General features: G+C 34.7%; 1 long non-coding RNA gene and 1 pseudogene across 1 annotated transcript; one reads left to right on the forward strand and one right to left on the reverse strand.

The window, feature by feature from the left end:
- The first annotated feature begins 21,801 nt into the window (after positions 1–21,801).
- LOC105374704 (uncharacterized) lies at positions 21,802–23,345 on the forward strand. The gene is made up of 2 exons (NR_134264.1): positions 21,802–21,855; positions 23,010–23,345. It is a non-coding gene; the product is annotated as an uncharacterized LOC105374704 (long non-coding RNA).
- Positions 22,941–24,195, reverse strand: PGBD3P2 (piggyBac transposable element derived 3 pseudogene 2; annotated as a pseudogene).

The following is a 27,097-nucleotide window of genomic DNA, read 5'->3' on the forward strand; positions in this document are numbered from 1 at the left end:
TGAACATCAATGTGAAAGTCCTCAATAAAATACTGGCAAATTGAACCCAGCAGCACATCAAAAAGCTTATCCACCATGACCAAGTTGGCTTCATCACTGGGATGCAAGGTTGGTTCATCACACACAAATCAATAAACATAATCTATCACATAAGCAGAACCAATGAGAAAAATCACATGATTATCTCAATAGATGCAGAAAAGGCCTTCGATAACATTTAACACCTCTTCATGCTAAAAACTTTCAATAAACTAGGTATTGAGGGAATGTATCTCAAAATAATAAGAGCTATTTATGACAAACCCACAGTGACTTCTCTCTTTAATTCATAGAGTGGCAATTCCAAACATCTCTTTTAAAGTTTGGAATAAAGATGTCTGCCATGATGTGTCAGTGTAACCTGAATGTTACATCCCTGGGATAAATGACTTTACTTCTTCTATTAGTGCCAAGATAATTGACAACAATATTAATTGTCACAGTTATGCAAAAATAAGTTTACACTTCATTTTTGGGACATTGAGAGATGGAAAAGACTAAGGACTTGGAATATCAGGAGGTGGAAAGATAGATTACCATTTATAAAGGCTCTCCATTTCAAGATCAAGGAATCATTGTCACATGACAAATGACTTAGAGTTTGGTTTTATAAGGCAAGGATTTTCAGGAACATCTCAAAACAGATATCTTGAGGTAACTCAGAAGCTTTTTAACACTGAGAAGCTGTGAAAAGGAATTGAAGCCAATGGAGGACATTGAAGTGTTATGTAATATTAGGGTGAAAAGTGGAGAGTATGCCATCAGAAGAAACAACATAGAAAGCTGAGACTGGAATATGGGGTGGAGGCAGAGCACATAAGACTGATCTTTTACATTTTATACAGTGCAATACTAATGCCTAATTTCATAATTATGTGAGTGTATGACTTACATTTAAAAATTATTTTTAAAACTTTACTTTTTAAGTGTATTTACATTTCTAGCTATTTTTATCCCCTGAAACTGAAACTTCATTGAAAGGATATCATCGATATTGCCAAAAGAAAATATAAGAAAATATAATATTTTTCATGTTTGATATATGTGAAGTTGATTTAAAATAACTGGTGTGGCTGTTTGTACACATATACTAACATATACTAATTGAACGGCATTTTCTTTAAAATAATTTCCTGACAGCACCATTTTTCTGTGTGAAGGCTGTTTCCTTTCTCTCTACTTTTCCTTGGTGTCACACTTTGGTCTTGCTTCCCATTTCTTGTTCTTACATTGCATTAATTTTTTTCTGCTTATTCTTATATTCTCCCTGAGATGTCAATAATGATATGGTCCTACCAAATCAACTTGACATAGACAAAACAAATATAACCAGCTGTCGTCATCATGTCTCCCTGCTGTGCACTTTTTAAGCTGAACTGCCTAGAAAAATTACTTGTAAACTTCCCCAACTGCTTTACAATAAAACAAGAATTATCCTTATATAATAGAGAGAGAGCAAAGTTTCACACAGCACAAAATGTTGTTAGAGTCCATATCAAAACAGTGAATAATTAAGGTGCATATCTAATGTAAATTGCAAAATATATTTATACTATCAGCATCTTCATGTATCAGTCTATTTTTACACTGCTTATAAAGACATACCTGACACTGGGTTATTTATGAAGAAAAAAAGTTTAATGGACTCACAGTTCCATGTGGCTGCGGATGCCTCACCTTCATGGAGGAAAGTGAAACGCACATTTTACACGGTGGCAGACAAGAGAATGAGAACCAAGCAAAAGGGGTTTCCCCTTAAAAAACCATTCTATCTTGTGAGACTTATTTACTACCAGGAGAACAGTATGGGGGAAACTGCCCCCAAGACTCAGTTACCTCCCACTGGGTCCCTCTCACAATATGTGGGAATTATGGGAGCTACAATTCAAGATGAAATTTGGATGAGGATACAGCCAAACCCTATAACTCCATAACTTCAGGAATTATAGAATCAATCCAATTGAAATTAAACATGCCTAGTTTTCTATTTGTTTTTCTGAAGACTGTTAAAACCCAGATACACTGAAGGGTTCTTGGAGGCAGTTAACGGCAAGTGAAGAAAAGCTCTCCTCACTGTAATTCGGTGTCACTAGTTTGTCTACTCTGGCAGTCGGACTAGGGAGCATAGTGTTTTACAGCAGGTGGGACTTTTAATGCTCAGTCAGCTAGTGACAGTGGGTAGACCAGCAAAAGCAGCCCCTTGGAGGTATATTTAATGTGACACAAGATTTGGTTGAGAGACCTGTAACCGTTAGAGATGAAGGTTATAAAAGTCAATTCATAGAGTGAAATCAAAATGAGTCGGAATAATGGGCTGAAGCAGTCACATTGAAATGTATTTTCACTTTTCCAATTTTCTTTATGTTTCTAAACTTATAATCTTACTCTCTCTATTACACATGTACTTTTATCTATCACTTTTCTTCCAAGGAATTTAGAATGCCAGATCATCAATCATCCAAACAGACTTAGAAGACACAAAAAGTTATTGTTATTCCCCTTTTTCAGATAAAAAAAGAAAATTGAAGGGGCAGCTAAATAATTTTTCCCCTAGGTCACTCCAAGAAGTCACTGGCAAAATCAAGAGGGATTTCAAGGTCTTTTGTGGCCCATATCCACAAGTATAAGATGAAAGTGTGAGATAATAACACGAACAGAATCCAAATAAGCTGTCAATGAAGTTCAAATTTCTCTTGCTCTTCTGCTGGGAATAAACAAAAAACAGATTTTGTTTATCAACGTGTGTTCATTTTGTGTTTATATGAATAATGTTCTTGAAATAGAAGGTGCTATAAATAAGTATATATGTTCATATATATACCTATATGTTTTGACATAATTATACTTTTGTTTTTTCTCAAATATGCTATTTTCCCCCACATATTTCCATTCTAAATCCTTTTTTGAATATTCACTATACTATGTTCAGAATTCAGTTGTAAAATTCTGTTATATCTAATATTCTATTTTACTGATTATAAAATTACAGGACAATTTTACAATATTGGGAAATATACAAAGGCTCAGTATGTGAGTCTACAGATACTGCTGCCTTTGAAATGAAGTGACCCTTTTTCCTATTTATCTATGTATTTTCTTACAAAATGAAATTATTGGACTTCAGGATTCAGAGGAAAGGTTTAAAGCTCTCATGAGTGTTACTGTCAGGTTTATTAAGAAAGGTGCTTCTTATTGCAAATTATAAATTACCTTTTCTCTTGAAGACATGAGAAAACTGACATTATAAGGCTGACAACTAATCCTAAACCTGAAGAGAGACAGGCATTCTCTGGGAGAAAAAAGATTCCATCATTTGCTTTCTTCAGGCAAATGCTGTGGAACCCCATATAAGCAGTAAAATGATTAAGCTAGAAGTGTTTAACAAATTGCCAAAGGCTAAGTGTGGAATAGTGAACCAATGTGAAGACTCTAGTTTCTGCAGACATATGGGAGTTGTATGTCTGCAGAAGCCAGGATCTTCACACTGGTACACTATTCAACACTTGTTACATTATTACACTGTGAAGTTTTTTGCAGGTTTTCCCAGTATGATTACCACCGGGTGCTCCCAGATTAGATAAGGAGACATTCATTAGCCAGAAAGAAAACAGTTTTGTTTCAACTTGTATATCTTCAAAGAGATAATATGCTTCAGAAATGAAATGAATGAAGATGAAATATAATATTTTAATTTTACTTTTAATTTCTCTAAAATAAACTTTTCACAAAAAGTTGTAGAAATATAGTATGTTCATAACATGAAAACTTGAAAGTTTTGACTGTAATGACACATAGAAGGGGATGGATTTATTGGGAATATTATGGTGCAAGTCTACTATTCTATAAATAAAACCATATAGTATTATTTAAGGGTGGATTCAGATTATTTCAAAATATAAGTTGAAAACCCAAGACGATCATTTAAAGAAATTTTTTTAAAAGATGGATATATTGTCCTAGTTAAAGAGGGTAATGACATGACGGTCAGGTTTCAAGAAGCCATAATAATCTTAATTATGTATATAATATACACTAATACATCAAACTATATGAGGTAAAAATAAACAGATTTGAACAGAGAAATATCCACAATTATCACTGGAAACTTTAACACTACTGTCCCAGAAATTGATAGGCCCATTAGGCAGAATGTCAATACAGATATAGATAACCTGAAAAACACTATCAGCCAACTTGACATGATTGACATTTGCAGAACATTTTACCCAACAACAAATGAATATACATTCTTCTCCTGTGCACATGCAGCATTTATAAAGAAAGATCATCTTCTGGCTGCAACACAAACCTTAGCAAGCTTAAAATAATGCAAATCATATAGTGCATATTTTTAAAAGATAATATAATTAAACCTTGTTGACCAAAGTGACAGACGAAAGCAGGAGTCTTAATCAAAGGGGTTATTATGCCAAGCTTGAGGATGTGCACCCAGGAATATCATGAGCTTTCCAGATATGTGTCCTCAAGCTCAGCATAATAAATTTCACTTGATTTAGATACCTACTATGGTTTCTCATTTGGATTGACATTATTGTCATCCCAGATGAGACCCCTGAGTGGGGTCTAGCTTTCCTGAAACACAGTAAATCTCTGCTCAGTGCTCAGTACCAACTGAGAGACTTTCTTCATTTGATTACGCTGTATAACCTACCACGGATCAAGGGCTTCTGCTTGCTAAGGTCTCCATCTCCCAATCTTTGGTTTAGATCTCAAAATTTGATTGCCATGAATACCCCATGGAAATTTGTTGGCTTCCAATAAAGAGAGACAGTCTCCCACTTCTATGAGGACAGACAGCAATCTTCAGCTCATTAACTTCATCTCTAAGTCAGGAGTTGGGTTGGAGTATTATCTTAAGTTTGTTTGCTGAATTTTTGCCAGTCCTGTTGGAGTATTATCTTAAGTTTGTTTGCTGAATTTTTGCCAGTCCTAACTTCTTTTTCTTCTGCAATTGCTTTTTCTTGTTTGGTTGCTTGGTTTTGGTTTTCCTTCTTCTGGATTTGACCAACTTTTAATGACCTATAGTGTATGAATGTGGAATTTCCACTCCAAAGACAAAAGAGAACTTACTTCCAGGGCATTCTCAGGCAGTGGATAATCTCATGAGGGAGTCTGAGAGGAAGCTCCTGCAATGTGTAGTAGTCCTAGCCAGATTCCATTCTTGGAAGAACAGATGAGTCTGTTTTCCATTATTTTATCTACTTTGCTAAAACACTAGGACAATATTGCAGAATGTCAGCAGATAACTATTAAAAAAACAAAAATCACACATTATTAAATTCAAATTTTCAAAATGGTTTCTGTGATAAATTAGGCATTCTTGTCAAACGTCATATGACTAAGTGAGCTATGACCAAAACTAGTGACCTGGACTACTTAGCTGACCAGTTGTCCTGTATAATGGTATGAAAGGAAAAGCAAAAGACTGCTGAAGTTATGAAGCAAAAGACAGCTGTTACAATTGCAACAGCTGACCTCTTGAAACTTCCAGGCCAATAAGAAAATTAGGTCCACTGGCCCTGGGAGTTTTCTCCTGCAAGAAACCAGGGCATTTTGAAATAAACTGCAAGAAACTGAAAAGGAAACAGGTTGATAAGCTCAAATTAAACTAGGGCTTCTCTGAGGAAATAAGTGGTTTTCATGTCTCCCAATACTCTGCTTTAACCACTTTGGAGAAATTAACAAAATAACAAATAATAACTCTCATCAGCCCTTATAGTCAAGGGAACTATTCTATCAGTTATAAATCCCACCTTATCTGAAAAGCCTGTTCCTCAGAATAATCAAAGGTTAATACGGTGGGTCCACCTAATAAACCTATTCTTTGCTTTAAATCGAAAACTTTGCCCTACTGGTCCATTGAGTCTGGCCTTCCTCCTACGGGCTATGAATGTGATACCCTCAGCTAATCCCATGTATTCCTGATATGCCCCAAAAGCCCCAGTTAACCTTCTGGGTCAATATTTCCTCATTATCCATAATACTCACGTCTATTTTTCCCCAAAGGGGAAAATATTTTTAGAACTCAAACAATGGGATTGGGGGAAGCAAAGAAGAAATATCACCCTGATAATATGCCACATGTTGGCATTAGTGGCATAAGATGCCCTCATGTGATTGGGAAAATAAATGGAAAAACAATAATGCAATAAAGAGAAGGAGAGTATAAGAATCCTTTTAAGCTGTCTATTTTTTCTGTTAACCCCAAATATTGAACAGTTAGTTGAAGCTGCTCCTTCCTGGGTATGATCTACCCCAATTGTGAAGATAACCCACTCTGCCATTTTAATACCTTAAAATGAAAAGAAAGCTACCAGGAAGTTATCAAGATACGTGGCGGCATACACGTCTGAGATATTGTTCTCAGACATGGGGAATATGCTAATAGAGATATGATAAAAAAAATCTGTCAGCCACAATAGGACAGATCGCTTAAGATACTCCAAAGAGCATTGCAGTACAACAAATGTCTCTGAATTCCTTGGATCAAATAGCGCTGAATAAAAGAATTGCTGTAGACTTTCTCCTAACCAAACCAGCAAGTATCTGTGCAGTAGATCACACCACCAGCTTCACTCACATCACCATTTCAGGTGAACTAGAGACTTATATTGAAATAATTACCAAGTGAGCTAAGTGCTTACAAGAGGTACAAAATATTCAACTTCTTAATGTGCTCTACTCTTGTCTTTCTATGAAAGTGGAAAATTTCTTTTAGTCTGCAACTCAAACCTTTGTTATAATCATAGCCTGTATCCCACTTATCTGATTATCAATGAAATCGCTTATGTTATAAATAACCAACTGCTATATGTCATCTACTAAAACCAAAATTATGGTCGCACAGAGTACAGAATAGATAGATAGACTGAACCCATTAGCCTAGCTGCAGTTTCATTTTATACTTCTAGAAAGCCCAATTTGTCTCGGGCCTAGATTAATCTCATTATCATTCACCTTTTTGCCTCCAACATGAGACATGACTTTCCGGGAATGAGCCTTTTCAGAACCAAGGGCCAAAAAGGACTTTTAAGTGTGATCATCTATGTTCTTTAAAGAGAAATCTCAGTCTAAAGGAGAAAATATGAAAATAAGTGAACAGAAAAACTGATCAGCACAGGCCCCTTCTAAATTTCTGTTCTGACCCAGGAATGTGTGTTCATGTTAAAACCCATAGAATATATAACACCAAAAGTAAACCCAAATGCAAGCTATGAACTTAGGATAATAATGATATGTCAGTGTAGGTTCACTGACTATAAAAATGTACTACTCAGGTGCAGGATATTGACAGTGGGGGAGGCTGTACATGTGTGGAGGCAAGAAGTATATGATAACTTTCTGTATTTTTGCATAATTTTGGTGTAAACATAAAATACTCTAAAAATAAAGGTATTATATAAAATATATATAACAATATATACAATATATAAAATATATATAACTTAATAATATATACAATATATAAAATATATATAATATAACCCACAAACATACTTGTGTGTGTGTGCATGTGTGTGTGTGGATCTGTGTGTATACACCATTTTATGTATCCATTCATGTATGCATGGACACTTAGGTGGATCCCATATCTTGGCTATTGTGAATAATGGTGCAGTGAACATGGAAATGCAGATTATCTTTTCAGCATACTCATTTTATTTCCTCTGGATTCATATCCAATAGTAGAATTCCTGGATTATATGGTAGCTACATTTTTAAGTTTTTGAGGAACACCCATACTATTTTTCATAATGGCTGTATTAATTTACATTCCCATGAATAGTGCTCAAGCTTTCTCTTTCCTCCACATCCTCACCAAGACATGTTTTCTTTCATGTTTTGGATGATAGCCATTCTAACAGGTGTGAAATGATATCTCATTGTGGTTTTAATTTGCATTTTTCTGATTAGTGGTTTGAAGCATTGGTTTATACACTCATTGGCCATTTGTATATCTTCTTTAGAGGAATTTCTATTCAGGTGTTTTGAGAAATTTGTAATGGGGTTATTTGTTTTCTTAGCATCAAGTTGCTTGGGTTCCTTATATATTTTGGATATTAACCCCTTATCAGATACATGGTTTGCAAATATTTTTTTCTTATTCCATAGGGTGTACCTTCACTTTGTTAATTATCAAAAAATGACAATTCTGTAATTTGCAAAAAAATGAATGAACTTGAAGGATATTATGTTAAGTGAAATCAACCAGGCACAGAAAGACAACTACTGCATGGTCTTATGTATATGTGGAATATCAAAAGGTGAACTTACAGACATAGAAAGTAAAATGGTGGTTACTGGGAGCTGGGACAAAGGGAGGAGTGGTGAGATTTTGGTTAAAGAATACGAGATTTTACTTAGAGTAATAAGTTGAAAAGATCTATTTACAACATGGCGACTACAACTAATAACAATGTATTGCATTCTCAAAAATTACCAATAGAGTAGATTTTAAGAATTTTCACCATTAAAAAATGTTTGAAGTAAGGAATGTGTTAATTAACTCTAGTTATTTCACAATGTATACATATTTTGAAATATGTATTACACAATAAATATGTGTAATTATTTGTCTATTAAGATTTAATTAAAAATAAAATGCAAAACAATATATTTATTATAGTACTTCAAAAATAGAATATTTAGATACAAATCTACAAACATTTGGGCATAATCTGTATATTGAGAACTACAAAACATTAAGGTAAAATATCAATGCAAATCTAAGTAAATGGAGAGACATGGCATACTTGTAGATAGGAAGACTCCATATTTTTAAGATGTTCCCAATTGCATCTATAAATTCCATGCAGTACAAATATAAACCCCAGCAAGCTCTTTTTGTATCACCATTTACAACAAGTGGATTCTAAAATGTATACGGAAAGGCAAAGAAACTAGAATTTCCAAAACTATTTTGAAAAAGTTTACCATAAAGTTGCATTAGACAGATTGCTGCATTAGCTAAAGAATAGACATATTAGTTGATAGGAACAAAATAGCCCAGAAAAAGAACACAGGAATATACTGAACTAATACTTGAAAAAAAGTATAAGGAAAATTCAAGGAAGACAAATAGTATTTGCAATATATGTACTAGAACAATTGGATATCCATGTGTTGAAAACAAAAATAACTTGACTATACACCTCATACCTTACACAAAAATCAGCTGAAATGAATCATAGTTCTCAATGTATAAATTAAAACTATAAAACTTCTAGAACAAAACAATGAATAAAATCTGTATGGCTTTGGCAACATACGACACTAACATCATGCTTCATAAAAGAAAAATTGAATAAATTGGATTTTATTAGAATAAAAACCTTTGTTATTTAAACAACATTAAGGGAATAAAAAGGCAAGCCACAAAACAGAAGAAAATATGTGTTTTTCATATATTTGGAAAAAGACATATCTAGGATATACAAACATTACTAAAAACTCAACAAAATTTAACTGCTTATTTTAACTCTGTTTAAAATGAACAGAACAGACTGGACAAGGTGATTAATGCCTGCAATCTCAGCACTTGGGGAGGCCAAGGCAGGATGTTCACTTGAGGCCAAGAGTTTGAGACCAGCCTGGGCAATACAGAAAGACCCCATTTTTGTTTTGTTTAAAAAAATGTAAAAAATAGTCAGGCATGGTAGGACACACCTATAGTCCTAGCTTCTCAAGAGGCTGAAGCAAGAGGATTGCTTGAGCCCAGGAGTTCAAGGCTGCAGTGAGCTATGATCATGCCACTGTACTCCAATCTGGGTGACAGACAGAGATCCTGTCTGGGAAAAAGAAAAAAAAAAGCAGAATACAATATGAACAGACGATTCATTTCACCATATGAGATATTCAGATGACAAATAATCATGTTAAAATATGCTCAACACATTAGCCATTGGGGAAATGCGAGATAGATATAGAAAGAAAAGCTACTGCATACCCATTAGAGTGACCATACAAAAAAAATGATTTATTGGTCAGAATTCTTCAGAGAAAAAGAACCAACAGAATGGGTAGATGAATGATAGATAGGTGATAGATAGATAGATAGATAGATAGATAGATAGATAGATCGATAGATACATAGATAGATACATGATAGATAGATAGATAGATAGATAGATAGATAGATAGATAGATAGATAGATAGATAGAAACACAAGAGGGGATATATTAAGAGATTTGGCTCATGCAACTATGGCAGCTTTGAAGTCCCACAACAGACCATCTGAAAGCTGGAGGCCCTGTGATGTCAGTAGCATGGTTCAGTCCAAGCCTGAAGGCATAAGAACCAGAGGAGTTGAAGGTGTAACTCTAAGACTGAGGCCCAATGCTGCTAGTGTAAGTCCTGAAGTCAAAAAGGTGGAGAGCATGGAGTTCTAATGTCTAAGGGTATGAGAAAAACTATGTCTTCGCTCCAGGAAAGAGAGAGAAAATTGCTTTTCTCTGCCTTTTTTGTTCTATAAGGGCCCATAGCTGATTGAGTGATATCCTCTCACATTGAGAGCAGATCTTCTCACTCTCTCTACCCACTCACACAAATCTCCTCTGGAAACACCCTCACAGACACATGAAGAATTAATGCTTTACCAGTTCTCTGGATATTTCTTAATCCAGTCAAGTTGATACCTAAAATGAGTCATCCCAGATGACAACATGAAATGAATTTCAGAGTAAAAGAAACTCACCCATTTCTTAGGGAAATTAAGTTTCCACTTTAGAAAACAGTGTTATACTTTCTTACAAAGGTAAACAGACAGCGTCCACACTTTTAAATACTTACCAAAATCAGTTGAAAACATATTTACAACCAAACCTGTAATAAATATGTATAACAGTTGTATTCATAATAACCCAAAATAGAGTATAACAAAGAGGCACATTCTCATGACTACAACATAGCCAGACCATATCTCTACACAAAAATTTTAAAATATTAGTAGAGTATGTTGGTCCATGCCTGTAGTTCCAGCTATTTTGGAGGTTGAAGCAGTGAAGCGAGAGGATTCCTTGAGCCCAGGAGTTCGAGGCTGCATTGAGCTATAATTGCATGACTACACTCCAGCCTGAGTGAAGGAGCTAGATACTATCTAAAAAAATTAAAAATTAATTAATTAATCAAGATAGCAGATCCCAGAATGGATTGCAGATGGTGCCAACTAATTATAACTCTCTTAGAAATGTATGATATCAACCTCATGGAAAGAGGTGGGGAAAAGAAAATGATTGTAGTAGCATTGTAAACAGTGTTTTGACTGGATTTTTAAAGGCTAAAGTCAGAGGGACAGTATATAAATACTGTCATGTAGATGAAACTGTGTTTCTCACTGTGTAATGGTATAGCTATTCTAAAACTTCTGTACGTGTACACTAGGCTTGAACAAAACAGCCAACATTGTCTACATTGTAGACAATGAGAGTCAGAGTCTTCACTGCTAGAGAAAGAAGTTATAATTAAGTAAGGAGGGGAAGGGCTAGAATGAGATCTTTGCTGCAAAATTAGAGAAATGAGCACATACATGTATACACACACACACACACTCATACAATAGAAATGGAAATAAACTCAGATACACATATATACATAGGTAAGTAGACATAAAATATGCTTTCTAGTTTGGACAACTGATAGGTTCTTGAAATAGTGACACTTAGTAACAGTCAGCAATGTAGCATCCAGATCAGTTCTTAAATACCATTTTCCAATGAAAGAAACCATGGTTCCCTAAAAAATAGCTGAATCTAAGACTGTGGCAAGATAAATATAAATTTAGTTTGAAACATATTATAGTGACAGATAGAAAAATGTTCTCTAACAAACAATGAAATAAATAATAAAAAATTAATAAGATGCAAAGAAAAAAATGAGAGCTGGTGAAAGAAACAGTCACCAAACAGAATGAGCTACCAATAGCCAAAGTTGGAACAATCCAATCAAAAAAATAAATAGCAATATTGTTGGATTATAGCCCCCAAAATAAAATATATCTGCAAGTCCATACTGTTATAAATAAATGATTGTATTAATAACTTATGGGGAAAATTGTTTTTCTTTACAGGAAATATTTGATGAAAAAAATTTAAAATTGACAGTACACCAGAGTCATAATTGCTGCTGGCATAATACATGAATAGTCCAAAAGTTGGAGAATCTTTAGGGAAAAACAACATATTTTCATAGTCTCAAAATATATTTTTCAAGGTGTTTTTTAATTGTCATTGTTGTTTTGACATACATCAACAAATTCTTTGATACTGGTTTCACCAGGATAATCCACACTGTTGAAGAGCACTGAACTTTGTCACTTGTTTTTAATAAGTAGAAAGGTAAAAATAGTAACTCTGCAGTGGAGAAATCTGACAGCGATCACTTTAACCAAGTGTTGAAGATAACATAACCAATAATGCTATGTTGACACCATGTAACCTCTGATATGATGCAATGAGAAGGGAGGTAATCTTTGTGCTATTCTTCCCAAAAAGCCATACCTCCCTGAAACACTTACTGAGTGTTATTCAGAAGTGTCAAGGTGTGAACAAAGAAAAAATCTCAAGAAATTTTAATATATTGGAAAAGACTACGGAAACATGATGGCAAAAAGTGATGTCTTCTCAACTGAACCTAAGAGCTATATATATGTATAAAAATTGGTAAAATCAAAATTGTGGGAGTTTTATGTAGAGTACGTGAAAAATAATGTATTTTTTGGTAACTGTACCATCACTGTATAAGCTGTGAGAAAGGCATTTGGGAACACTCTTAGCTATTTATTCAACTATTCTCTAAATCTAAAATTATCTCAATAAACACATTTTTAAAATAAAATTATTGTGTTCTCTCTCCTTCCTCTCAGTCTTGCCAGCATTTGTTATTTTTTGAACTCTTTTTGATAATAGCTATTTTAACTCAGTTAAGGTGTTATATCATTGTGTTATTGATTTGTATTTTCCTAATGAGGAGTGATGTTGAGCATTTTTATATACCTGCTGGTTATTTTTATGTTTCCTTTTGAGAAATATCTAATTAAATCTTTGCTCACTTTTTGATGGGATTTTTTGTTTATTGATTGAATGACAGAAGGATGAAATTAGACTATCACTGTATACAAAATTCAACTCAAAATGAATTAAGGCTTTAAATGTAAGACCTGAAATGATAAAACTACTAGAAGAAAACTTGAGAGAAACACTTGATGACATGGCTCTGGGTAAATATTTTTTGGGATAAGACCTCAAAAGCCCAGGCAACAAGAGCAATAATAGACAAATGGTATTATGTCAAACTATAACCCTTCTGCATATCAAAGAAAATAATTAACAGAGTGAAGAGACAACCTTCAGAATGGCAGAAAAATATCACAGATTATAATGTATCTGCCAAAGGTTAATATCCATAATATATAGGAACTCAATAGCAAAAAACCCCAAAATGAAAAATGAATAATTTTATTTTAAAAATTAGCAAAACCACTAAATAGACATTTATCAAAAGAAGATATACAAGTGCCCAAAAGTTATATGTAAAAATGCTCAAAATTACTGATCATCAAATTAGTGTAAATCAAAACCACAATGAGATATCACCTCACATCTGTAATTATGACTGTTACAAAAAAGACTAACAGTAACAAATGCTGGAGTGAATGTGTTGGGCAGCAGTGACCTGGCTCTAATACTCCTGCAAAGCTCAGTAATTCACTAGCTGGGAGTATTCTGGAGGAAGTGTGGCCTCAGTATGAATGTCTCAATGAATGGAAAGTGTGACAGATAAAAACACAAAGTCACCTTTCCTATGCTGTTGCAGATTGTCTTAAAGAGAGAACTAAGTGTTATACATCATCAGGTCATGGTCTTCCTCTGAGAAAAAGTGAACACTATTTCTATTATGAACAACGAAATGGAGGGATAATGTGTTCCGGTTCACAGGACTCTAGGGAAATGTCTAATTGATCACAGCACCCCTACCAGGGGGGCTTCTAGACCTCTATATGCAGAAAAATGATGGTGAGGGGAATCTGATTAAATGCACCATGGAGATTCATAGTCTTTTACTCAGTTTTTAGATATAAGCCAACTTTTAAATCTATTATCTTCATGATTGAGAACAATTCCTTCTGAGAAACGACCCTGTAGTTTGGTTAAAAATATATTCAAAAGCTTCCTTCAAGCCTTTTCCAGAAAAACTCTACAGCCATTTTTCCAGCACTATGCATTGAGGAAAAGGAGATTCACAGATCACCTGAGAGTATTTGATTACTGGTTCTCACTTCTGCATATCTCTGAAACTTTAATTGAATGCCATAAACCCCAAACTATTCCTATATATATTTTCCTGGTACTAGAATGTATAGCAGTAATTAACTCACAATTCCAGTGCTTGCTTCCAGTCATTAGTTCCCACATTATTTTACTAAACAGAAAACTAGGCATTCTTACACTAAGACAAGGCAAGTGGAAGCCAGGGGAAATACTCAACCACTCACTGGCCAGAACCAAACCAAAATAATATCAAATCCAAAGAAGATAAAGAGTATCATTAGTGTCTTGAAAAACACAGGAGTTGAGATTATATCATATTCCCTTTAATTCACATTTCTGGTGGCAGACACCAGATTCATCAAGTTGTAGGATAACTAGATTGATGTCAATATTGGGTATTGATGCTGATGGCAGCTGCTGGTTGTATATGTGATATCTTACTTGAGCAAATAAAGCCAATCACCATAACGTGGTATACAGCAAGTTAGTTCAAACTTTTTTCAATCCTGATGAGTTAAGATAATCAGGAGCAGGGAGAGCAGTATAAATTTGCTCTCCAGTATATCATAGTCTAGAGGAATTTGATTGTCTTAATTTCCCATAGAACATCACAATAGCCCATCACATTGACAAAATCATGACAGTTAGATATGGAAGATATAAAATAACAAACAATATAGATGTATCAGTAAAATGAATGTAGGTCTGAGGATGGGAGCTAAATCCCCCAAATATTGAAGTACCTAGCAATTCTTTTTTTGGATCCTTTGGTCTGATGTGCATTAAATACCTCACTTAAATTCATAAACAATTTGCTTCTCCTTGCACAATACTTATGGGCAATATATATGATTTTGGAAGCAACATATGTCATATCTGAGTGTGATGATCAACCTGTTAATGAATAACTCAAAGTGTTGCTAGTTTTGATGTGGTTTAGACCAAAGAAGTTTTAGCAGCACAGGGCTGACATTCAAGCTTCTCTGTCATTTAAACCTAAGGCACAATTGACCCTATTATTTCTGAAATAATTTTGGAAGATAGGTATACTGCATTGAGTCTGTGGTAAGGTTAATAGAAAGCAATTCTGACATTATTTGAAAAGTAGCTTTAGCTTTCAGTGGTCCCTGATAGAGAATTAATATCTGATCAGGAGATACCAAGTGACCATGTAATCCAAATTTCCTTTTAAGTGTTATGTGGTACAACAAATTACACATTTCACACATATAGCAGCATACCCTTCTTTTTTTTCTTTTCTTTTTTTTTTTTTTTTTTTTTTTTTTTTTTTTTTTTTTTTTTGAGACGGAGTCTTGCTCTGTCGCCCAGGCTGGACTGCAGTGGCACGATCTCAGATCTCAGCTCACTGCAAGCTCCGCCTCCCGGGTTCACACCATTCTCCTGCCTCAGCCTCCCAAGTAGCTGGGACTACAGGCGCCCGCCACCACGCCCAGCTAATTGTTTGTATTTTTAGTAGAGACGGGGTTTCACCGTGTTAGCCAGGATGGTCTCAATCTCCTGACCTCGTGATCCACCTGCCTTGGCCTCCCAAAGTGCTGGGATTACAGGTGCGAGCAACCGCGCCCAGCCGCAGCACACCCTTCTTAAATGAATATGGTATGTATTCGTTCAGGCTTAAGCTCATGTGGAACACATACATCTATTACCTTAAAATTGGCTCATATTCCCATGATATATGTTTATCCTGCCTCACCACCTTTCTCTCAACTCACAACTTTCATACAATGAAAGTAATATATCACCAGATTAAAGGAGGAAAAAGTGCAAGTGTGACTCAGGTGATCCTGCATGGGATTCTGGCCACAGCTGTTAATAGATCATCACTGCACTAAAGCCTCTCTTAGAGACAAACCTAAAGTACAATGGTGAAGAGAAGTCTTCCTAACTGGAATAACTTGGGTAATGCTTAGGATTCTCTGTTTTGTGTAAATGTTGACATAACCTGAATTGTAAGTTAATTCATGGGTAATGGCTAATGCATTGGTCAAATGATCAAAAACTTTGGAATGTTGTGATTAGAAGGTTGAAGCAAGACAGTCTGTCAGAGAGATATGTGAATGAGTCTATCAGGAAGGATACAGAACGTGATGTCTGTAGCATGCATTAATGACCTTCACAAGATATTCACGGCAGAGAATACTATCAATCCATGTATAAGAAAATTTGTCTTTTGAATTTCAGTAAACTTCTCTTCCAAGTCACACTAATGTTTGCTCAATGGGTCTATGTACAAAACTTCTGTGATGGAAGGATGGACTATGCATAGTTTTATGTGGTGGACTTCCCTTCACAAAAGCAGATCCACCAAAGCTATTTATTGTCCAACCCTCCAACACCAAAGCCTAAAACTATAATCCAAGACACCATGGTCTTTCATTAGTGGTCAGTTTCTTGGTAAAAGGTTGATTACACTGATTCTTACTATCGTGGAGAGGACAGCCATGAGTTCTATGAACTGTATTGGCAGTAACCAGGTACGACAAACCTAAACCACTATGTCTTGGGACCACCAAGACATGAATCCTGTGGGAATCAAAATTATGTAATTGTCCCAGCCAAGCTAATAACAATGGATAAGGGGACTCAGAATGGTGGTATAAAAAGGAAGGGTATTAACATCAACTTAGGGAGTATTATCAGCTACAGAAATAAGAACTGAAGCACCTACATTTTATGAGTATTGTCTCTTTATTTGATGTTTATATGATGAAGGCTGGTGGATGCTAATATTTATCTAAAGGTTTCAAGTTTTAATACTGAATTGATATGGCCTGTGGCAATATAATAGTTACTGAAAGTTTGTCCTGCATTGAACGTATGTTCCTGATTATGTCATCATTCTCTCTCCCCCAAAAGAAATTATTTCTCCTCCACAGTACTTTATGACTATATTCTGTCACAGTATTTCAGATAAATTTGTGAAAATGTCTAACTGCTTTGCTAACATATAAAATTATTAAGAACAGATATTTCTTACTCTAAAATGGTATTCACCTACAACACTCATCATAGTGCTTTGAGCAGTTTCACCTTTAATAAAGTTTTAATAAAGTTTTTATTTGTGGTCATCTCATTTCTAAATAAAACTGTCATAAATAGAAAAGGTCCAGTGAAGGACAATGAAAAGGATTGTAATCATGGGTAATACTACAGGAGGGTGCTCTGAATGAGGGGGAGATTAAAAAGACTAGACTGAATTGCTCTAAAGAAATGAAAGGGAAAAGGTGATAAAATGCAGGCATATTAAGTCAAGAAGTGAATAAAATAGATGCACAGAAATTTTACTTTTCCACCCTTCCTTACAATTCAAGGACAGTGGATAAAATCAGAGTGCTTAAAATATAAAAATAAAGGTCCTCCTTGGAATAAATTGTCAAAAAATAGTTTCAGTGTTTCTGTCTGGTCCATTGCTAATTGGAAAACTAAATCAATTCTATGCTTCCATTTTCCAATATTTATTTGTATAAAAGAATGTTAAATATTGAAAGAACTTTAGATATTATTGTATTCTGAAAGTTTTCCATTTAAAAAGAGAAAATTCATGCTCAGACAGCTTTGTTACCCATATGCTTTCATAACTCTAATTAGTTGGAGTCCTCTTTCCAGTGTTCTTATGTCAGAGGTCTTTTTAGTACTCTATGGATAGCCTCACAGTAGTCATTATACATTGTAATTCACGTAGTTAACGTACATGTATATATAAATATATGCATACACTATTAGTATGCATGGTATATTCTATATCCACGCAAATATATTAGATAAAACAAAAATTTAACATGGGCTTAGGTTTATATTTTAACACTTTTTACTACTTATCTTTTTTTTTTTATTATACTTTAAGTTTTAGGGTACATGTGCACATTGTGCAGGTTAGTTACATATGTATACATGTGCCATGCTGGTGCGCTGCACCCACTAACTCGTCATCTAGCATTAGGTATATCTCCCAGTGCTATCCCTCCCCCCTCCCCCCACCCCACCACAGTCCCCAGAGTGTGATGTTCCCCTTCCTGTGTCCATATGATCTCATTGTTCAATTCCCACCTATGAGTGAGAATATGCGGTGTTTGGTTTTTTGTTCTTGCGATAGTTTACTGAGAATGATGATTTCCAATTTCATCCATGTCCCTACAAAGGACATGAACTCATCATTTTTATGGCTGCATAGTATTCCATGGTGTATATGTGCCACATTTTCTTAATCCAGTCTATCATTGTTGGACATTTGGGTTGGTTCCAAGTCTTTGCTATTGTGAATAATGCCGCAATAAACATATGTGTGCATGTGTCTTTATAGCAGCATGATTTATAGTCATTTGGGTATATACCCAGTAATGGGATGGCTGGGTCAAATGGTATTTCTAGTTCTAGATCCCTGAGGAATCGCCACACTGACTTCCACAATGGTTGAACTAGTTTACAGTCCCACCAACAGTGTAAAAGTGTTCCTATTTCTCCACATCCTCTCCAGCACCTGTTGTTTCCTGACTTTTTAATGATTGCCATTCTAACTGGTGTGAGATGGTATCTCATTGTGGTTTTGATTTGCATTTCTCTGATGGCAAGTGATGATGAGCATTTTTTCATGTGTTTTTTGGCTGCATAAATGTCTTCTTTTGAGAAGTGTCTGTTCATGTCCTTCGCCCACTTTTTGATGGGGTTGTTTGTTTTTTTCTTGTAAATTTGTTTGAGTTCATTGTAGATTCGGGATATTAGCCCTTTGTCAGATGAGTAGGTTGCAAAAATTTTCTCCCATTTTGTAGGTTGCCTGTTCACTCTGATGGTAGTTTCTTTTGCTGTGCAGAAGCTCTTTAGTTTAATTAGATCCCATTTGTCAGTTTTGGCTTTGGTTGCCATTGCTTTTGGTGTTTTGGACATGAAGTCCTTGCCCATGCCTATGTCCTGAATGGTCATGCCTAGGTTTTCTTCTAGGGTTTTTATGGTTTTAGGTCTAACATTTAAATCTTTAATCCATCTTGAATTGATTTTTGTATAAGGTGTAAGGAAGGGATCCAGTTTCAGCTTCCTACATATGGCTAGCCAGTTTTCCCAGCACCATTTGTTAAATAGGGAATCCTTTCCCCATTGCTTGTTTTTCTCAGGTTTGTCAAAGATCAGATAGTTGTAGGTATGCGGCATTATTTCTGAGGGCTCTGTTCTGTTCCATTGATCTATATCTCTGTTTTGGTACCAGTACCATGCTGTTTTGGTTACTGTAGCCTTGTAGTATAGTTTGAAGTCAGGTAGTGTGATGCCTCCAGCTTTGTTCTTTTGGCTTAGGATTGACTTGGCAATGCGGGCTCTTTTTTGGTTCCATATGAACTTTAAAGTAGTTTTTTCCAATTCTGTGAAGAAAGTCATTGGTAGCTTGATGGGGATGGCATTGAATCTGTAAATTACCTTGGGCAGTATGGCCATTTTCACTACTACTTATATTTTTATTCCCAGGTATTAAGTAAATACACTATTTGGTTTTCATCAATTCACATACAAAATGATTTATATAAACTCGCGTTTTAATTTATATATATTTTAAACACACTTAATGTAGAATATCTGTAGAAAATATATTGCTACTACAAAATTAATTTTTTTTATTCTGAAATAAGCTGAACAATGAATGGACACCATGAAGTCCTTCTAAAGTTTTTCATATCCATTAATTTTTTGAAATTTTCTCACATTTTCTTAGTCAGCATTAAATTTAAATTGTTGTCATTATTAAGCATGCTTCAGAATCTTGATTTTCCCAAGTTATTGGTTTTTATAGAAAACTATCTATTATTTCCACATAATAAATAAAGAATATATTTACAGTAAAATCTGAACTGAAGGAAATTACAAAATGGCCTACATTAAAACATAGTACATAGCCTCAGAGACTATATTAAAAATCTAGTATAGGCAGTCCTATAAATTGATTTTCCTAAATGTCTCTTGTTTTTCTTTTGACTTTCAAGTTTTCTAGTTTCTGATTTACTCCAGATCTATTTCATGACCCTCTCAATTGAAGATCAGTTTTTTGTTACATCTGAGTCAAGGCAGTTTCCTTCACTTGCTCCTATTAAGAACACCACATACTTAGCCTTCCATACCAGTATCACAATGCATAATAAGTTCTTATTACTTACTTTCCATTTGTATACTATGTGATAATTACATTAGTTCAGGGTTAATATCTGTTAAAGTTTGTATAACTAAATGCCTGTCATTAAGAGCTATGCAATAAACATTTATTGAATAGCTAGAAAATTGAGAAATAAATGCTCAATTGTTGCTGTTTTTAAAAACTGTTCTGTTATAGTACTTTCGGGGTAATTAACACTTGGCGTATGCCTCTATATCTTAGAGTCTACATAGTGATAGGGTAGTTGTCTTATTGACTCTGACTATTCGTTCCTTCACTATAAAAGAGTATTATTCAATCTTGATCACTGCAAGATGTGTCTTGCAGTGACTCCCATGAGGCACGTGCTTCCTCCCCAACTGACACTGGTCTTGATGGTGTAATTTCTTTTGTCAATTGGTATGTTAGCGAAGTGACATTGTGCCATTTCCTTGAAAATGCCATAAAATACACCACCTGTTTTACCGTCTCTCTTGCTGTTTTTTCTCTAACATGAGACCAAATAGCTCAAATAATGGCTGCTCCTTTGGATTTTATTCAGGAATAAGAAGATGGTAAAGCAGAGCTGAGCAGAAATTTCATACCTGAAGCCAATAGCGGACAATATGTACATATAAGAACAATAGATATTATACCCAAAAAATCATTGCCAAGATCAATGTCAAGAAGCTTTCCCTTTATGTTTGTATCTACAACTCAGTGAGTTAATTATTCTATGTAAGGTAAGATCAGCGTCCAATTTCATTATTTTGCAAGCAGATATTTCAGTTTTCCCAGCACTACTCATTAAACAGACTTTTTCTTCATTGTATATTCTTTGCACTTATGTCAAAGATCAGTCGAATGTACAAGCATGGTATTATTTCTGAGCGCTCCATTCTCTTCCACTGGTCTGTATGTCTTTTTTATGCCAGTACTATATAATTTTGATTACTGTAGCTATGCAATATATTTTAAAATCCAGAAGTGTGATTTCTCCAGGTTTTCTCTTGTTTGTTTTGTTTGATTTTGTATTTAATTGAGACATAACACTTGTACATATTTTGAGGGTACAGTGTGATGTTTCAATACACGTATACAATGTGTAATGATCAAACTAAGGTAATTAGCATATCCATAACCTCAAACACTAATCATTTCTTTGTGCTGAGATCATTCAATATCTTCTCTTCTAGTTACTTTGAAATACATAATTGTTAACTAGTCACATTGTTATGCAATGGAACACTAGAATTTATTCCTCCTATATTACTGGAACTTTGTATGTTTTGACCAACCTTTCCCCATCCACCCTACCCTCAACCCTTCAAAGCTTCCAGTAAAACAACTATGCTGCTCTCCACTTCGATGAGATCAACTTTTTAAAATTTTACATGCGAGTAAGATTATGTGGTATTTGTCTTGATGTGTCTGGTTTATTTCAATTAACATAATGTCCTCCAGGCTTATCCAAGTTGCCATAAATGATAAAATTTAAGTCATTTTTCATTGCAGAATAGTATTTTGTAGTACAAATATTCTGCATTTTCTTTATCCATTCATTTATTGATGGATAATTAGGTTGATTCCATATTTTGGCTACTGCAAATAGTGCTATATAATAAATGTAGGAGTACAGATATTTCTTTGGTATGCTGATTTTATTTATTTAGATATATACTAAGTGGCGGGATTGCTAATCATATGGTAGTTATATTTTTAATATTTGAGGAACGTAAATACTATTTTCCACAATGGATTTATGAAATTGCACTTTCTTTATGTGTTAAGGGATAAAAGTTATACAATCTTAAAAAATAAATAAAAAATTCAAAATATGTATCGGGCAATTGTTAAAGTGTAGGATTTTTTCTTTGTATGTTTTTTTCTTTTATTTGTGATCAAACTTAAGTTTTTATACACTTACAATTACTTGTTATAAGATATTTTGTAAGCTTCATGATAACATAAAGCAAAAACCTATAATAATACACTAAAAATTTTTTTAAAAAAGTGGAATCAAAACATACTACTTGACAAAGCCACTTAACCGCAAAGGAAGATAGTAAGAGTTGAAGAAAAGAAGAAACAACTTACAAAGCAACTAGAAAGCAAACAACAACATGGCAGGAGTAAGCCATTACCTGTCAATAACTACCTTGAATGTAACTGGATTAAATTTTCCAACTCAGAGAAATAGAGTAGCTTAGTGGATGAAAAATAATACCCAACAAGAAACACTTCACTCATAAAGACACACATAGACTAAAACTATAGGGATGAAAGATAATATTCCATGTAAATGGAAACCAAGAAAGAGTAAGAGTAGCTATACTTACATGAGATAAAATAGATTTTAAGCCAAAAACTATAACAAGAGACAAAGGTCATTACATAATGATAAAGAAGTCAATACAGCAAGAGGATATAATACTCATAAATATATATGCACCCAATATTGGAGCACTTAAATATATAAAGAAAATATCAATCTGCAGACAACATTGCCTTTGCCATCAATTCCGTAATTGAATATGATTTCTTTTTTCTTTAGAGCTACATCTGATTCCAGTGGGGCTTTGTTAATGCGATCCTTTCTCACTGTACCTGTTGCCTGATGTTCCATTGAACTGAGCTTATCAAGAAGTGCAATACTGGTGAAAAAGTTATCGAATACAAAATGATATTGTCCAGGGTGTGTGTAAGTCCCTCACTAAACTTATGAATAAGTGATGCACCAACACCGTATTCTTCATATTTAGTATTTGGGTTTTTACCCTGATACGGCTGAAAGCAGCAAATGTGGCACAGACATGTGGCACCACAACAAAACTTACAGCCAAACATAATGGGCTTTCCCTGAATAAATTGTTTGCACCTGTGACAACCAGAATAAGGAACCATGGATTCATTAAAGCTGAAATATGTCTCATTTGGAACAAATTTCATACATCTCTCATTACGTTTGCTTATGAGAAGTCGCAACTTGGAAAATTTGTCCATTGGATCCAAATTTGCATCGTCAGCAACATGCAAATTAGAAAATTTAGTTTCAAAGCGGTCACGTCTCATGGCAGCAATAACCAGTACATTATGCGCATCTGGTTTGTTGTTGTTGTTGTTCCCAAAACATACGGCTTCTAGGAACTGAGATGTAACCACTCAGAAAAATAATTCCCAGAAAATATTTGAATTCGGAGCTAGTCAAGCCAAGATGTACACCCTTAACTTCGAGCCTGTAAGTTGGAGTACTTGACAATGAGTTCAACGACTTCGTCATCATGAAAAAGTTCCAGAATTTCTGTGGGAGTTCTCATTTCGGTGAATAAATCGTTTGGTGGTTCTGTAATTCTACCTGCTACAAGTTGTGCAGTTAGGTCCCTCTCTTCCATTTGCAAACAATTTTTGTCACTTTCCTCCTCCTTGATGGTGGAAGTTGCTGCGCGGTAGACGTAGATGGATCTTCGTCAGGAGAGTCAAATTTAAGTGCGTATGAGGGATCATCAGAGTTAGACTCTGCATCAGAATCACCTTTATAAGATTTGCAGTTGCGCGCAACAAAGAACCTGGCAGATTTTTTATTGTTCCACCTTCTTCGTCCCCGGAGTCCTCATCAGAAACAGGTGCTGTAGCATTTTCAGGTGGTTGTATCAGAATAGTACTTGCTTCTATGCTGTCATCTGTATTTAAAGGTTATTTCATGTAAACTTAGAGTTTGAGACATCTTGGGACTAAAACTCAAAAAAGTGATTATTAGTCCTAGTGGTAGTGGTTTGCCGAGTGTTCCAAAAATGGAACATACAAAATGTCAAACCCATAACTAATGCAACAATAATAATTTCGGTATTTTCTTTCTACAGCACAATTACTAGCATAGGATATAGTGCAGTAAAATTACATGTACTTGTCTTTTGATATTGCTTCAAAAATGTTTCCAAAAACTCACATCACTACTTGACAAGCTCCCAGCACGCCAGTATCTGCAGCAGTGACTAACTCTGCGCATTATGTGATAATATGTACCCCAGAAGGCAGACATTTGTGAAAAATCAGACCTTGGAGATGACCTTGAACAGTAGGATATAAATAACTCCCACATGCTTAGAGTTCCAATAATGGAACACTGGGCATATTAAAAAAGATAAAATCAACAACCCTTTAGACTAACGGGAGAAAAAGGAGAGACAACTAAAATAAATAAAATAAGGAATAAAAAGGAGACATTACAACTGACACCACAGAAATACAATGGCTTACTAGAGATTATTATAAACAAATGTAAACCAACAAATTGAAAAGCCTATAAGTGGACAAATTCCTAAACAGCATTGTTCTTATTACTTATAATTGTTTTGGTTATTTAAAGTAACATGCAAAAAAACAAAAATAGGTAAGTGGAACTATATCAAACTAAAAACTTCTGCACAACAAAGAAAATAATGAACAAAATGAAAAGGCAACCTGTGGAATGGAATAAAATATTGGCAAGCCATATATTTGATAGAACATCAACATCTAAAATATGCATGAACCTCCTACAACTCAAGAGCTAAATAAATAAATAATAACACAAATAAAAATTTAACCTGACTAAAAAAAATGAGCAAAGGAACTGAATAGATATTTCTACAAAGAAGTCATACAAATTGGAAATATATATATAAGACGATGTTCTGCATCACTAGTCATCAAGGAAACTCAAATCAAACCACAATAAGATATCACCTCACACCTGTTAGAATGGCTCTTACATAAAAGGCAGATAAAAAGTATTGGTAAGGGTGTGGAGAAAAAGGAAACTTTGTACACTATTAGTGGGAATATAAAATGGTATAGCCACTGTAAAAAATGTGTGCAATTTACTTTAAAAATTAAACTAGAACTACCATATGATCCAAAAATCCCATTTTGGGGTATATATTTTAAAAAATTAAAATTACTGTCTCAAAAAATATCTGTACTCCATGCTGAGTTCAGTATTATTTACAATAGTAAAAATATAAAACAAACTAATGGTCCCTCAACAGACAAATGAATAAAGAAATTGGTATATAAAGACGATAGAACATTCAACTGTTGCATCTACAGCGAAATAAAAGAGAGAAAATTCTTCCACGTGCAATAATGTGGATGAATCTGGAGAACACTATGCTAAGTAAAATATGTCAGAACAAATACATAATACCACTTACATAAAGAATCTAAAGTAGGTCAAACTCATAAAAGTGGATAGTAGAATGATAGCTGCCAGGGGCTGGGGGTAGGAGGAAATAGGGAGTTATTAGTCAAAAGGTACAAAATTTCAGTCAAGCAAGATGAATAAGTCCTAGAGATCTATCGTACAGCATAGTGCTGATAGCTAACAATACTGTATTGTGCACTGAACAATTTTCTAGAAGTTATATCTTATATTAAGTGCTGTTATTATAAATAATAATAAGGAAGGCAAGAGGAAACTTCAGGAAGTAATGGATATGTTTATGTCATAGATTTTGATGAGGGTTTCATAGATGTAGACTTATCTCCAAACTCATCAGGTTGTGTACATTTAATATGCACTGTCTTTTGCCAATCACATGTAAAGTGTTTTTTTAAAAATAACAAATGTTCTATAAGCCACTGATTTTTTTTCTCTTAAAAATGTTACTTCATTATGTTTATTCATGATGTTACTGCTGCAGTCTTTTTATTGTTTATTATTATATAAACTCTGACTTGAATACAAAATTTACTACCAAACATTGGATGTTGCTATTACAAAATGTTCAAAAGACCAATTAACTGCTAAAAAAGCCTGAGAATATTTTTTTTTCAGTTTAGTTTCAGAAATATCAGATTAAGAAAGCTGCTCTGCCATGAAGGTGATACTCTCTCCAGTATACTCTTTGATTGGGCCAAGAAAAATTGGGAGAAGAAAAGGACATAACAGCACTCATAAAAAAATTCTAAGATCAGTAGGCCAGGAAGCTATGCAAGGGAGGCAGACTAAGGGCAAACTTTCAGTATAAGGAAAACACGTGATATTTGGCCAGTAGGATTTCAGAATTTCTATGGCCCTGTGACTGCTGGGCACTTCCCTTTCTTTCCCCTTTGCAATCCAAACTGTTACTGGGGTTTATTCTGTTCCAGTTTTATATGTTCTCTATGGCTTTGTGTGTGGTGGGTGTCATGGTGGGATACTCACTGTTTTAGCATACAAGTCTCTGAATCAAAAGACACTATATAAAGACATAAAGTAGAATATATCAAGAAATTCTGGATCTTGAGTTGATGCCACAATCGATTGAAATTTTTGTTGTCGTTGTTCTTGTTTTTGGTTTTTTGAGACAAGATCTTGCTCTATCACCCAGGCTGGAGTGCAGTGGCGCAATCTCGGCTCACTGAAACTTCTGCTTCCTGAGCTCAAGCGATTCTCATGCCTCAGCCTCCCAAGTAACCAGGATTATAGGAGTTCACCACCACGTCTGGCACATTTTTTTTTTTTTTTGTATTTTCAATAGAGACAGTGTTTCACCATGATAGCCAGACTGGTCTCGAACGCTTGACCTCAAGTGATCAGCCCACTTCGGCCTCCCAAAGTGCTGGGATTACAGGGGTGAGCCACCGTGCCAGGCCGGACGGAAATATTGAGTGCTCCTTGGA

Source organism: Homo sapiens, chromosome 5 (assembly GCF_000001405.40).
Source record: "Homo sapiens chromosome 5, GRCh38.p14 Primary Assembly".
NCBI lineage: Eukaryota > Metazoa > Chordata > Mammalia > Primates > Hominidae > Homo > Homo sapiens.